Raw genomic sequence first — 13,332 nt, forward strand, 5'->3', positions numbered from 1 at the left:
ACCCTTGTCTTATAAAGATGTTATGCCTCAAAATGGAGTGGAGGGCCATACCCTGAGGGAGGGAAGGGATCTCCAGGGTTGGGAGAATGATGGCTTTTGTCCTCAATTCTCATCATACAAATAGGGAGAATATAATTTCTGAGGCTACCCATATCCTAGCTTCAGGAATAGCTTTTGTTAGGCCTGCTAGTCTGAGGAGGGATCCTAAAATTCCAGATAGTCCCCCCCACTGATGGGGTTTTGGGCAAAAATTATGTCTTTCTGATTGTTGAGCCCAGGTGCCTAAAGAACAGTCCCAAAATTTATATTAGAAATCATTTTTATAGGAGAAACTAGAAAGCACCAGAGACAGGGAGTGGTTTTTAGAAGCGGGAGTAGCCTCAGAGAAGACAGGCAGGGGGAAGTTTGTCTGACAGGCTTAGAACCCAGGAGGCAAGGGTCAGGGTAGATAGGATAGATGGGTGAGTCTTGCTTGGGCGACATGACTTTGAGAGTTCCGCTCACGGTTACAGGGTCAACGAACTTTTTGTCAGGACCCCAGAGCTGAATGTCTTTCCTCTCTGTTGACCCTCGGCTCAGCCCAGAAGTACAGGAAAAGTGGAAGCTGGTTCCAGGCAAAGCAATGCTCCCAACTCCGTAGAGTCTGGAGTTGTTAGAGAGCCCTTTCCCAGAAAGCCTGACACCCGTGTCTTTAGTCCAGTGGCCACGCTAGTCGCTTTTAACTGGCCAACAGGTGCCCGGTGTTTAGCCCCCGAATTCTAAGGAAAAATAGGACAGAATAGCAAGTGAAAGGGGTTCAATGGTACTCACTGCTTGGCGATAGTCCCTTCATGGTTGACAAGATGTGTCCAGAGTTGGTTCCTTCTGGTGGGTTCTTGGTCTCACTGACTTCAAGAATGAAGCTGTGGACCTTCGCCATGAGTGTCACAGCTCTTAAAGATGGCATGGACCCAAAGAGTGAGCAGCAGCAAGATTTACTGTGAAGAGCTAAAGAACAAAGCTTCCACAGCATGGAAGGGGACCCAAGCGGGTTGTCACTGCTGGCTGGAGTGGCCAGCTTTTATCCCCTTATTTGTCCCTGCCCATGTCCTGCTGATTGGTCCATTTTACAGAGGGCTAATTGGTCCATTTTACAGAGTGCTGATAGGTGCATTTACAATCCTCTAGCTAGATACAGAGTGCTGATTGGTGCAATGTTACAGGGTGCTGACTGGCGCATTTACAATCCTTTAGCTAGACACAGAGTGCTGATTGGTGCATTTATAATCCTCTAGCTAGACAGAAAAGTTCTCCAAGTCCCCACTTGACCCAGGAATTCCAGCTGGCTTCACCTGTCATCATGAGGGAGAATCCGTACCAATGGCAAGTGGGGGCAGCCTGGGGCCACAGCTCCCATGCTGGGGTCCCAGATGGCTTGCCCACAGGCAATTGCCTGAGACAAGTCCTGAACTAAAGAGCACCAGAAGAAATTTGTATTAGTCCATTCTCACACTGCTATAAAGAACTATCTGAGATTGGTAATTTATGAAGGAAAAAATGTTTAATCAGCTCATAGTTCTGCAGGCTTAACAGGAAGCATGACTGGGAGGTCTCAGGAAATTTACGATCATGGCGGAATGCGAAGGGGAAGCAAGTACCTTATGTATATGGTGGCAGGGGAGAGAGAGAGCAAAGGGGGAAGTGCTACACACTTTTAAATGATCAGATCTCATGAGACGTCACTCACTATCATGAGAACAGCAAGGGGGAGTCTGCCCTTATGATCTAATCACTTCCAACTGGGCCCCTCCTCCAATTCGACATGAGATTTGGGCAGGGACACAAATCCAAACCATATCACCACTCCCTCCCTGTTCTTTGCACACTTGGAACAACTTCCATTTCCCTCTAGGAAGGTCAGAGGCCTGTGGGGTTTGGTGATTCACTCACCTGAGATCAGCTCCCCGAAGGAGTCCCTGAGACCCCAGCACCAAGAAAACCCTTCCTCTCACCAAGTCATCCCCAAGACTATGTTTGGTGACCATCACTGACCCTCCCTGCTCTCCTAACACCATTGGCAGGAAGAAGCCTGACAGGAATTAAGAAACAGGAATGAATGAAGGTCAGAGAAAGCATCTTGCAATAGAAAGAAGAGAAGAAGGAATGGTCTAAAGACCAGAAATCAAAGCCTAACTTACCCGTCTCAGCCAGTAAAATGTTACTCAGCTACTAGGCTGTTTGCCAAGCCTCAGGATCCTCATCTGCAAACTAATGATCCTATGATACTGTTGTAGAGGCACTAACAGTGCAAAGCAGATAAGCAGCTATAAGGGATGTCCGTGTCTCATTCCCTCCAAGCCCGTCTATATAGCCAGCCACCACAGGCAACTTTCTACAACCCAGACTGATCAGCTCATTCCCTGCTAAAAGCCTTCCACAGCAACCTGGATCAAGGACACATTTCTTAGAAGCTATATTGGACTTTGTGTTGGATGCCACGAAAACAATGGTGGCCTGACCGTAGGGCACTCACATCCAGCTAAGGGAACAACCACATCAAGAGTTAGTGTCAGGGGACTCAACTGTGAACCAGAGAGATATGGTGTCAGCCAAGATGGGGCTTACAGTACAGTAGAGAAGCCAGTAAGTAGACAGTGTTAGTGCAGTATGTCCAATAGGGACCATAACCTATTGGTTATGGCAATAGCATAGCATTGCAGGCCACCACAGGAGCAAAAAGGAAGCCACACCTAATCTAGGTGGGGTGCAGAAAAGGCTTCCTGGAGAAGGGGTTTCTTGGCAGTGTTTTAAAGGATAAGTAGGAGTTTTCGAGGTGAAAGGAGGGTCTCTCCATTCTCTTAGTTAGGGCTTGGGCCCCATTCACTCCCATTCACAGTGGGCTGGGGTTTTCTTCCCATATCATGGCAAGTCCCCCCATCCCATGTGTCTAGGGCCCCACCTTCTTTTCAGGGTATACAGGAGAGTTCTGGCTGTTGAAAAGGGACTATCCACACAGATGATGTCAGAACATCTGAGCGGTTTGGGGGCAGAGACTCTCCAGACCTGTGCTCCTCTCTTTGTGGGTTTTTGTTTTGTTTTGTTTTGTTTGTTTTTGACAGGGTCTTGTCACCCAGGCTGGAATGTGGTGGCAGAAACACTGCTCGCTGCAGCCTCAACTTCCTGGGCTCAAGTGATCCTCTCACCTCAGCCTCCAGAGTAGGTGGGACTACAGGTGTGTGCCACCAAGCCCGGCTAAGTTTTAAATTTTTTGTAGAGACAGGGTTTCACCATGTTGCCCAGGCTGGTCTCAAACCCCTGGCTTCAAGTGATCCACCCGCCTTGGCCTCCCAAAGTGTTAGGATTACAAGTGTGAGCCACTGTGCCCAGCCTCTTTGTGGTCTTAAATCCAGTAAGTTCCTGGGGACACACTTCTCACAGCTGCCCTCACTCCAAGCAGGATTTAACATGGGAAGTGATAGTGATGATGCAGAGCAGCACAGTAATTGCTATAGATATTCTCTTTTTTTATTATTACATACATATAGGGCAAACGTGGCAGGCCTTAACATTAATGGATACAGGGGATGAACTGAGAGGAAACAAGGATAGTAAACACAATACTAGAAAACACCTATAATACTTACAATGTGTCAGGCACCATTCTAAGTGCTTTATGTATTTTATCTCATCCAATCCTCACAACAACTCTACAATTCAAGTATATTATTATCCCCATTTTCCAAATAAGGAAGCTATGCACAGAGAGGCTAAGTAACTTGTCCATGGTCACTCAGCTCATGGGATGACACCCAGGGTTCTAGTTTGGGTCCCTGGGTGAATGATAATACTTTTTACAGTGATGGGGATATGGGTTGGAGCTTCAGGGTTGCGGATAGATGGTAAGTTTCGTTTCAGGCATGTAGAATTTGAGTTACCTATTTGTTAGCTCTCATACCAAAGCTTGAGTGATGATTTTCAAGAGAAATCGAGTTGGAGTACAGAATTCCTAAAAGCCTTCTGTGGTTGTCTTTGGCCCAAAGGTAGGTGTCCTAAGGTGCTATATCGAGGCATCATCAAGTGTCTTGCCCACTGGGGCCCAACCCAGTCATGGTAGATCGGGCCAGGCCCACAGTGTTGGTCACAGAAGTGCCTCTGAAGTCTAAACACACTGCTCAGATGGGCCTGGTCCTTACAGCCAATGAAAGCCAACCACTTGTGCATGAAACAGCTCTGAAGAATAAAAAACCTCAATCTTGGTTTCCAAATCCTTGTGTCTCCTATAATAGGAAGCCAGGACTGCAGGACAACACGTGGTCAAGGAGACCTGAAAATCAGGTCTGAGAGCATTTAGCCTGGCCTTGGGAGATTTCCTCCTCAAGAATCCTAAGCTTCTGGGGCCTTGATTTGCCTTCCACCTCAAGAATCCTAAGCTTCTGAGGCCTTGATTTGCCAGTAGGCAATGTCTAGCATCAATGTCAGGCAGAGGCTGGGGTTCCTGGTTTTAAATAGCCAAAACCTCCTTGTGAGATTTCCAAATGGAGAGGGGGACCTTGATGACAGGAAACCACCATTAGGATCAATGGACAAAGATTGCTCCAAGAGATTACTTTTAAGCTTGTGGAAACTCTGGAGCAGGACTTCTGGTGTCTTTGTTTCTATCTTGGCTCACACAGATATATGAGGAACATATGTCAGGGCCAGGGTTAGGCCCAGGGCACCTTTGAAATATTGCCATCCCTAGACAGTCCAGGAGACTGTTTACTTTGGGCCCTGTAAAGGACCTATCTCCTGTGCTATAATAAAGATACACAGTTAACTTCATCACACCCTTTGCCCTTCACCCGTGGTCATTAACACACAGGGCCTGCTCAACCATGTTTGTAACAAGGACCAGTTCATATCCTCCTTCTGTATGCAAACCATTCTTCAAAGTGAAAGTCACCTGGGTACCACCTGCCACCCAGAGGCTAGACAACTGCCTACTAGGTTACAAACTGTCCCCACACCTTCTCAGTTTATCTGCTTCTTGGTCTCCCTAGGAACCTCTACATGGACACCAGAATGCTGGTGCTGTCTTACGAAATATTAACCACATTTATGGGCCAAAATATCACAATTTCTAGACATGCTTCTTCATTTTTAAGATGGGAGATGCTTGCTGCTCCCTTCACTGAGACTTCAGATTGGGCATCACACATGGTATAACTGACTGCTCAGGATATGCCAGGCCTTTTGCTATGTAGTGTCTGTTAACCTCATGCGGTGCTCCCAGCCCTGTGAGGTACGCATTATGCTCTGCATTTTTTTCAGATGAGAAAACAGGCTTGGAGGTTGGGTATCTTTCCCAAGGACACCTGGAGGAGAAGGTGTAGAGCTGGGACGCGTCTGGATCCCCCGACTATGGCCTGAGAGCGGGATGTGAGTGGCCTGGGCCCTCGCGAGACCCCGACCCCGCCCGCGGCAGGTGGCCGGGCACAGCCGAGAAGTAAGCCCTGCCAGCTCTCCCGGGTGCGGGGACGCGCGCGCCCACCTTCGCAAACGAGACTTCCGGGATCCCGGAGGGGGCGGAAGTCGAGGCCTCTCTCGCTTCCGGCTCGGCCATTGTTTTTGGTCTAACGGGCAGTAGAGTGTCCGGCTTCGGTGCCGAGTGCCACCGCGAGTGGGCCGAGACGCGGAGGGAGGCGCGGCCGGAGCTCGGGTCGCCGACGCTGGCCAGGACCGCGCTTCTTCCCGGCGGCAGGCGGCGCGGTCCCCGTGACTCTCAGAAGCCGCCCGATGTAGAGCCGCTTCTTTGTCTCATACCCCTGACCATTCGTGCGTGGCACGGAGCCGGGTATCTGCGGGTACAGCGATGAACAGGGCAGACGTGGCCAGGTGAGCGGCGCTGCTGAAGCCTGGTTTAACACGAAAGGTAGATCGCTGTTTTCCCAGCTCTTGCAGTAGGAAACTGTATGAACTGTCATATTTGGGTCAGACCCAGGCTCAGAATCGCAAACGTGGAGCGTGACTTGGAAATGCAAAAATCCAATTGAGATTTTAAAGTGCTGAGCATTCGGAACACTATGGGAAGCAGGAGAATGGCCTGAACTTTCTACATATATGGGATCTTAGAGCAGAGTTTACAGATTATTTTAAAGTCCTTCTTTGTCTTTTTAAAGAGATTGAGACACAGGGATCTGGGCTCTTGGTGAACTGGAAGCACAGCACAGATGCCCTAGTTACCAGTAAGGTGCTGATTTTAAAACGTTCAAAGTTTTCCTCCACTTCAGTGTCAGCTAAATGTATCATATTCATTCATTTCCCAATTATGTGTGCCATGTGCACACGTGTACAAAGATGACTGGAAGTCAGCTCTGCCCTTTGTATCCTCCCAGAAAGCAGGGGAGACAGTCGTGTAAACCACAAACGATTACAGTGTGAGATGTGCTCTACTAGAGGTTTGAATGAAAAAGGTAGTTTGGGATCACTGAGACAATAACCACCTCTCTAAGCCTAGCGTGATCAGGAAGGCTTTCTAGGGGAGGTGCATTGAGTAAAAAAAGGTCTAGTATTTTCTGATTCCATTTGGTTCCTTTCCTTTGGTGGCCGTGCAGCAGTTTGGAGGGTGAGAGTGGTGAGTTGTGCATAAACCAGTTAAAGGGTTATAGTGAGAGGTACACAAAGGGAAGCTACCAGCACTCTTCCTGATGGGGCAATCAGGAAAACCAAGAAAAAGTTGCCTTTGTTCATGGTCTTGACAGACAAGTTTGCCAAAAGTTGAAGAAGAAAAATTCAAAGAAAGAGTATGTGTGGCTTCTAAGTGTGTCTCTAGAGCTTTAGCTCCAAACTTTCTTTATTTTGCATTTCTATCAGTAGAAGAGGTTTGATCACTTACTCCCTACATTGGTTTATTTGTAATTTAAACATGAATACTACTATACAAATTGTAATGCACATTATAAAACATACATTAAATAGGAGTTAAATAACTTAGTATTTTCTCTTGCACCCTTTGGGATAGCCTGCATTTCCCACATTGGAGACCATTGCTGTCTTTCTAGCATGGGTACTTGGGGTGAGTGGTAGAGGGTGTGGCTGGTTGTGAAGGGGGTAAGGCCAGGTTGTGAAGGGCTGTGAATGCAAGGCATAGACATTTAGATTTTATCCTGTAGGTAATGGGAGCCACTGAAACTTTAAGAAGGGCATCATTTGGAGAGATGCTTACTAAGAATGCCTGGTTGTGTTCTTTTTTCCTGGAGCTTTGTTTTTTAACTCAGTGGAGGATTGTCATCAGCCTGGGGCTGAATACTCCAAGAACTCTGATTTCACTCTTGTTTCTGTAGGCCACACTACCATCACCCCTTTCTCCAACCCTGAAAAACAGTTCCTGAGACCTGAACTATTGACCATCATTTTAATCGGACCAACTGCAGCTGTAACAAGCTTCTCTTTGGGGTCACAATGACCACTGCAGGCAGGGGAAATTTAGGCCTCATCCCCAGGAGCACTGCTTTCCAGAAGCAAGAGGGGCGCCTGACTGTGAAGCAGGAGCCAGCAAACCAGACCTGGGGGCAGGGCAGCAGTCTCCAGAAGAACTATCCTCCTGTCTGCGAAATCTTCCGGCTACACTTCAGGCAATTGTGTTACCACGAGATGTCTGGGCCGCAGGAAGCATTGAGCCGGCTTCGGGAGCTCTGCCGCTGGTGGCTCATGCCAGAGGTGCACACCAAGGAGCAGATCCTGGAGCTGCTGGTGCTTGAGCAGTTCCTGAGCATCCTCCCTGGGGAGCTCCGGACCTGGGTGCAGCTGCATCACCCTGAGAGTGGTGAGGAGGCTGTGGCTGTGGTGGAGGATTTCCAGAGACACCTCAGTGGATCAGAGGAGGTGAGCAGTTGAGTCTAGAATGGCGGCCTGATGCTTCTCTAATGCTTGGGTTAGCCTAGGAATAGGCATTCTCCACTTCCCAGGCCCTAGGCCAGTTTGCCTTTAGGGTTGCTGAACTTGTCCTGTGGATAGAGGGAAAATAGTTTTGTGCTCCAAGCCATAAACACAAGTGCACATCCCAGCTAAGCTCTGTGATTCACCCTGTGAAATACTGTGTTCTGAGCCTAGCTTCATCCTGGAGATTCGCATGGTACTCCTGGCAGGCGGGGGATCTGCATGCTGGTTAGAATAGGGCGATCGGGGGAAGGCGGGCCTTTGGGTATGCTGATAATACGAGCCTTCATTTGAGACATTCTCTTTGCTCACTTCCTTGGACTTCTCAGAGTCAATTTTCTCTTTTTCTGCCTCTTTGATTCCCTGAAAGGTGACATTTTTGGGCCTTGTAATTATTTGTTCCTTTTGCTAGCTCTCCAAACCTAACTGGGATCTTTTTGCATCTTTAATTCTAATTTAAGTTTTCCCTATTTCCTGGAGTTCTTGCAAATGTAATACCAAGGTAATTTAAACTAGAGGAATAGTTGGGAAGAGTGAGCAGTAAGACACATTGGAAAATCTGGTTTCTAGGACCATAGAGCCAACTAGCTCTGTGCCCATGTGTTTCAGTCAGGGTTTAGCCAGAGAGGTAGAATCAGTAGGAGAGAGGGGTGTGTGTGTGTGTGTGTGTGTGGGCATGGGCACACATGCATGTGCATGTGTAAAGAGATTTATTGGTGGCTGGGCATGGTAGCTCATGCCTGTAATCCCAGCACTTTGGGAGGCCGAAGGGGGTGGATCACTTGAGGTCAGGAGTTTGAGACCAGCCTGGCCAACATGGCAAAGCCCCATTGCTACTAAAAATACAAAAATTTGCTAGGTAGGGTGGCATATACCTGTAATCTTAGCTACTGGGGAGGCTGAGGCAAAAGAATCACTTGAACCCAGGAGGCAGAGGTTGCAGTAAGCCAAGATCACGCCACTGCACTCCAGCCTGGGTGACAGAGCGAGACTTCATCTCAAAAAAAAAAAAAAAGAAAAGAAAGAGAGATTTATTGCTAGTAAGTGGCTTACGTAATTGTGAGGCTGACTAGGCAAGTCTGAAACCCATAGGCAGGCCATCGACAAGGGCAGCCCAAAACAGTGGCACAAGCTGAAGCTGCAGTGCACAGGTGGAATTTCTTCTTTCTTCTTTGTCCTTTCTTCTTTTTCCTCCTCCTCCTCCTTTTATTCTCTTTCTTCTTCTTTCTTCCTCGTCTGCTTTCTCCTTTCTTCTTCATTTTTTTTTTTTTTTTTTTTTGGGTCTTGCTCTGTTGCCTAGGCCAGAATGCAGTGGCATGAACATGGCTCACTGCAAGCTCAGCCTCCTGGCTCAAGTGATCCTCCCACCTTAGCCTCCTGAGTAGCTGGTACCACAGTCATGTGCCACCACACCAGGCTAATTTTTTTTATTGTAGACATGTGGTCTTGTTATGTTGCCCAGGCTTGTTCTTGAATTCCTGGCTTCAGATGATATTCTTGCCTTGGCCTCCCAAAGCACTGCGATTACAGGCATGAGCTACCACGCCTGGCCTGGAATTTCTTCTTCATGGAACTTTTAGCTTTGCTTTTAAGGGCTTACAACTGATTGAATCAGGCTCATGCATTCATCCGTTATCTAGTATAATCTCCCTTACTTAAACTTATTATGTACTTTAATCACATTTTTAAAATAGTTTACAGCAACACCTGGATTGATGTTTGATTAGTACCAAGTTGACACATCAAAAGATCATCACACCATGGATAAGTTAGTTCTTCCTAATGAGTTTCAAATTGTTCCCCTATAATAGAAGCAGGGTGAACTAGAGGTCCCCTCTACCCCTTTGTACTTTATCAGGGGAAAACAGTATAGAGAATTTCCCAAGTACCCAATATATCATTTTATTCAATGCTTTTTTTCCTAGAGAGTCTCACCCTATCACCCAGGCTGGAGTGTGGTGGCACAATCTTGGTTCACTGCAACCTCTGCCTCCTGGGCTCAAGTGATCCTCCCACCTCAGCTTCCCTAGTAGCTGGGACCATAGGTGTGAGCCACCACACCTGGCTAATTTTTGTGTTTTTAGTAGAGACGGGGTTTCACCATGTTGTCCAGGGTGGTCTTGAACTCCTGAGCTCAAGAAAGCCACCTGCCTCATCCTCCCAAAGTGCTGGAATTACAGGTGTGAGCCATCACGCTCAGCCTATTCAATGCTTTTTAAAAAATGATTACATATCACTAGGGAATCAGTTCTAGTTGATCAGGATCCTGGGGCTAGACATTTTTCCAGGATTATTAGCAGTACACATTTGTCATTATCAACCATCATTTTCTTTGTGTAAACAAGTAAGCACATATGAGTAAATCAACCATCACAAGGGTCTAGAGAGCAGCTGGGCCAGCCATGGCAATGACAGGTGGCTGAAGACATATTTAGAGAACCATTTAGTGAGGGTGGCAGAAGGAAAATGTCCCTATTTCCTGCTTGGTTTTGCTTAAGAAGTTAATGCTTCCTCCATTAAAACTTTTAGTGCTTTATCCAGCTAGCAGCCTCAGAAAAGGGTGACTGTTGAGTCACAACCCAAGAAAATGACTAACAGTAGACAGTGAGGCAGCTGAATGCTCATGGCTCCAGCTTGGGTGTAGGGTCTTTGGAGTCCATTTCTTAATCTCCCACTACTGTCAGTGTTATGTTTTCTGACACGAAGACATAAGGGCAGGACTATCTTTCATCAGCAGGCGTTCAGAAAATGTTTACAGAATGGCTAAATGAATAAACAAGCTTTTCCATGGAAGTTTGCCAAGAGGAGATTAAGGAGGGTCCAGGTAAATTGGAGTCATTTTGCTTATCAGGAGCAAGCCACTTTATTGCTGCAGAAGGAGCATGTACATGTGTGCACATTGTGGCTGGGAAAGGTTTGTATAGTGATCCCTGCTGGGCTGCAGAGTCATGCAACTTGCAGAATTCTTTTGTTTCCTGTATCTTTTTTTTTTTTTTTTTTTTTTTTGAGACAAAGTCTCACTCTGTTGCCCAGGCTGGAGTGCAGTGACACAATCTCAGCTCACTGCAAGCTCCGCCTCCTTCACGCCATTCTCCTGCCTCAGCCTCCTGAGTAGCTGGGACTACAGGTGCCTGCCACCACGCCCAGCTAATTTTTTGTATTTTTAGTAGAGACAGGGTTTCACCATGTTAGCCAGAATGGTTTCGATCTCCTGACCTCATGATCCTCCCGCCTCGTTCTCCCAAAGTGCTGGGATTACAGGCATGAGCCACCACGCCTGGCCTGTTTCCTGTATCTTTTTTCATCTCCTGCCAGGGTTACAAAACAGGCAGTGCAGTAATCATTATCTCCATTTGACAAGTGAAGTGAGCACATGTAGTAAGCATTCCCTTGCCCGAAAGATTTAGCTGAGGTGTGGTTGTTTCTGATTACCATCAAGTGGGAGGACCAGGATTTTCCATCTCCCTAGTTTCTAAGCCAACAGCTTTTCTCTAGGGTCTTGCTGTGGAATGCCATATTAGAATGAGGTTTTCATGTCTTCAAGGAAGGGAAACCTGTGATTCTGTATTAGTCTGTTTTCACACTGCTATAAAGAACTACCTGGGTAATTAAAAAGAAAAGAGGTTTAATTGGCCCACAGTTTCACAGGCTTAACAGGAAGCATGACTGGGAGGTCTCAGGAAACCTACAATCATGGCAGAAGGCAAAGAGGAAGGAAGGACCTTCTTCACATTGTGGCAGAAGAGAATGCAGGGGGAAGTGACACATACTTTTAAATGATCAGATCTCATGAGAACCCACAAGAACACCAAGGGGAGATCTACCCCATGATCCAGTCATCTCCCACCAGGCCCCTCCTCCAATTCGTTGTGAGATTTGGGTGGGAACACAAATCTAAACCACTATTATTCTGCCCTGGCCCCTCCCAAATCTCATGTTCTTTTCACATTGCAAAATACAATTATCCCTTCTCAACAGTCCCCCAGACTTAACTCATTTCAGCATTAACTCAAAAGTTCACAGTCCAAAGTCTCATCTGAGACAGGGTAAGTCCCTTCCACCTATGAGCCTGTAAAATAAAAAACTAGTTAGTTACTTCCAAGATACAATGGGGATATAGGCATTGGGTAAATGCTCCCATTCCAAATGGGAGAAATTGGCCAAAACAAAGGGGTTACATGTCCCATGCAAGTCCAAAACCAAGCAGGGCAGTCATTAAGTCATAAAGCTCCAAAATAATCTCCTTTGACTCCATGTCTCACATCCAGGGCATGCTGATGCAAGAGATCAGTTCCCAAGGCCTTGGGCATCCTGGCCCCTGTGGCTCTGCAGGTTATAGCCCCCATGGCTGCAGTCACCAACTGACATTGAGTGCCTGTGCCTTTTCCAGGCACATGGTGCAAGCTGCTTGTGGATTTACCATTCTGGGGTCTGGAGGATGGTGGCCCTCTTCTCACAGCTCCACTAGGGAATGCCTCAGCAAGACTGTGTGGGGGCTCCAACCTTGCATTTCCCCTTCACACTGCCTTAGTAGAGGTTTTTCCATGACAGTTTTGCCCCTGCAGCAGACTTCTGCCTGGACATCCAGGTGTTTCCATACCTCCTCTGAAATCTAGGAGGAGATTCCCAAACCTCAACTCTTGCCTTCTGCACACCTGCAGGCCCAACAACATGTGAAAGCTGCCAGCTTGGGGCTTGCACCCTCTGAGGACACAGCCTGAGCTATACCTTGGCCTCTTTTAGCCACAGCTGGAGCTGGAGTGGCTGGGACACAGGGGACCATGTCCTGAGGCTGCACAGAGCAGCTAGGCCCTGGGCCTAGCCCATGAAACCATTGTTTTCTCCTAGGCCTCCAGGCCTGTGATGAGAGGGGGCTGCTGTGAATGTCTCTAAAATGCCCTGGAGACGTTTTCCCCATTGTGTTGGCTATTAAAATTTGGCTCCTCTTTACTTATTCAAATTTCTGCAGCAGGCTTGAATTTCTCCCCAGAAAACGGGTTTTTCTTTTCTACCACATGGCCGGGCTACAAATTTTCCAAATTTTTATGCTCTGCTTCCCTTTTAAATATAAGTTCCAGTTTCAGATCTCTTTGTTCACAAATATGAGTGGACACTTTTAGAAACAGCCAGGTCACTTCTTGAATGCTTTGCTGCTTAGAAATTTCTTCTGCTAGAGGGCTGGGCGTGGTGGCTCACGCCTGTAATCCCAGCACTTTGGGAGGCTGAGGCAGGTGGATCACGAGGTCAGGAGATCGAGACCACGGTGAAACCCCATCTCTACTAAAAATACAAAAAATTAGCTGGGCATGGCGGCGGGTGCCTGTAGTCCCAGCTACTCGGGAGGCTGAGGCAGGAGAATGGCATGAACCTGGGAGGCGGAGCTTGCAGTGAGCCAAGATCGCGCCACTGCACTCCAGCCTGGGTGACAGAATGAGA

At 47.4% G+C, this 13,332-nt stretch overlaps 1 protein-coding gene and 1 long non-coding RNA gene across 11 annotated transcripts in view, besides 3 other annotated features; one reads left to right on the top strand and one right to left on the bottom strand.

The window, feature by feature from the left end:
* Positions 5,319–5,368: a silencer, noted in NCBI's record as "silent region_14268". NCBI's record gives its function as "represses an Ori minimal core promoter by ATAC-STARR-seq in GM12878 lymphoblastoid cells {active_cell/tissue: GM12878}" and the evidence as "EXISTENCE:reporter gene assay evidence [ECO:0000049][PMID:35858748]".
* Positions 5,479–5,618: a silencer, noted in NCBI's record as "silent region_14269". NCBI's record gives its function as "represses an Ori minimal core promoter by ATAC-STARR-seq in GM12878 lymphoblastoid cells {active_cell/tissue: GM12878}" and the evidence as "EXISTENCE:reporter gene assay evidence [ECO:0000049][PMID:35858748]".
* The window catches only part of ZKSCAN7 (zinc finger with KRAB and SCAN domains 7), a 28,291-nt gene continuing 20,523 nt past the window's right edge, over positions 5,565–13,332 (top strand). For 4 of the 10 annotated variants that reach the window (NM_025169.3, XM_047448582.1, NM_018651.4 and 1 more), the window contains exons 1-2: positions 5,565–5,890; positions 7,302–7,842. In NM_025169.3, coding sequence (NP_079445.1) covers positions 7,420–7,842 — 423 coding nt within the window. In that variant the 5' untranslated portion in view covers positions 5,565–5,890; positions 7,302–7,419. Of the gene's footprint in view, positions 5,891–7,301; positions 7,843–13,332 lie in introns of those variants that run through there. The other 6 variants (NM_001288591.2, XM_047448581.1, NM_001288590.2 and 3 more) reach the window with 3 other exon arrangements.
* Positions 7,131–7,632: an enhancer, noted in NCBI's record as "H3K4me1 hESC enhancer chr3:44598251-44598752 (GRCh37/hg19 assembly coordinates)". NCBI's record gives its function as "activates a minimal SCP1, AML or CMV promoter by ChIP-STARR-seq in primed H9 embryonic stem cells {active_cell/tissue: H9 hESC(primed)}" and the evidence as "EXISTENCE:reporter gene assay evidence [ECO:0000049][PMID:30033119]".
* ZKSCAN7-AS1 (ZKSCAN7 ZNF cluster antisense RNA 1) overlaps positions 7,729–13,332 on the bottom strand; it is a 128,297-nt gene continuing 122,693 nt past the window's right edge. Inside the window, exon 3 of the long non-coding RNA NR_157564.1 lies at positions 7,729–7,964. This is a non-coding gene — a long non-coding RNA (ZKSCAN7 ZNF cluster antisense RNA 1). The remainder of the gene's footprint in view (positions 7,965–13,332) is intronic.

The sequence above is a fragment of the Homo sapiens genome, chromosome 3 (assembly GCF_000001405.40).
Source record: "Homo sapiens chromosome 3, GRCh38.p14 Primary Assembly".
NCBI lineage: Eukaryota > Metazoa > Chordata > Mammalia > Primates > Hominidae > Homo > Homo sapiens.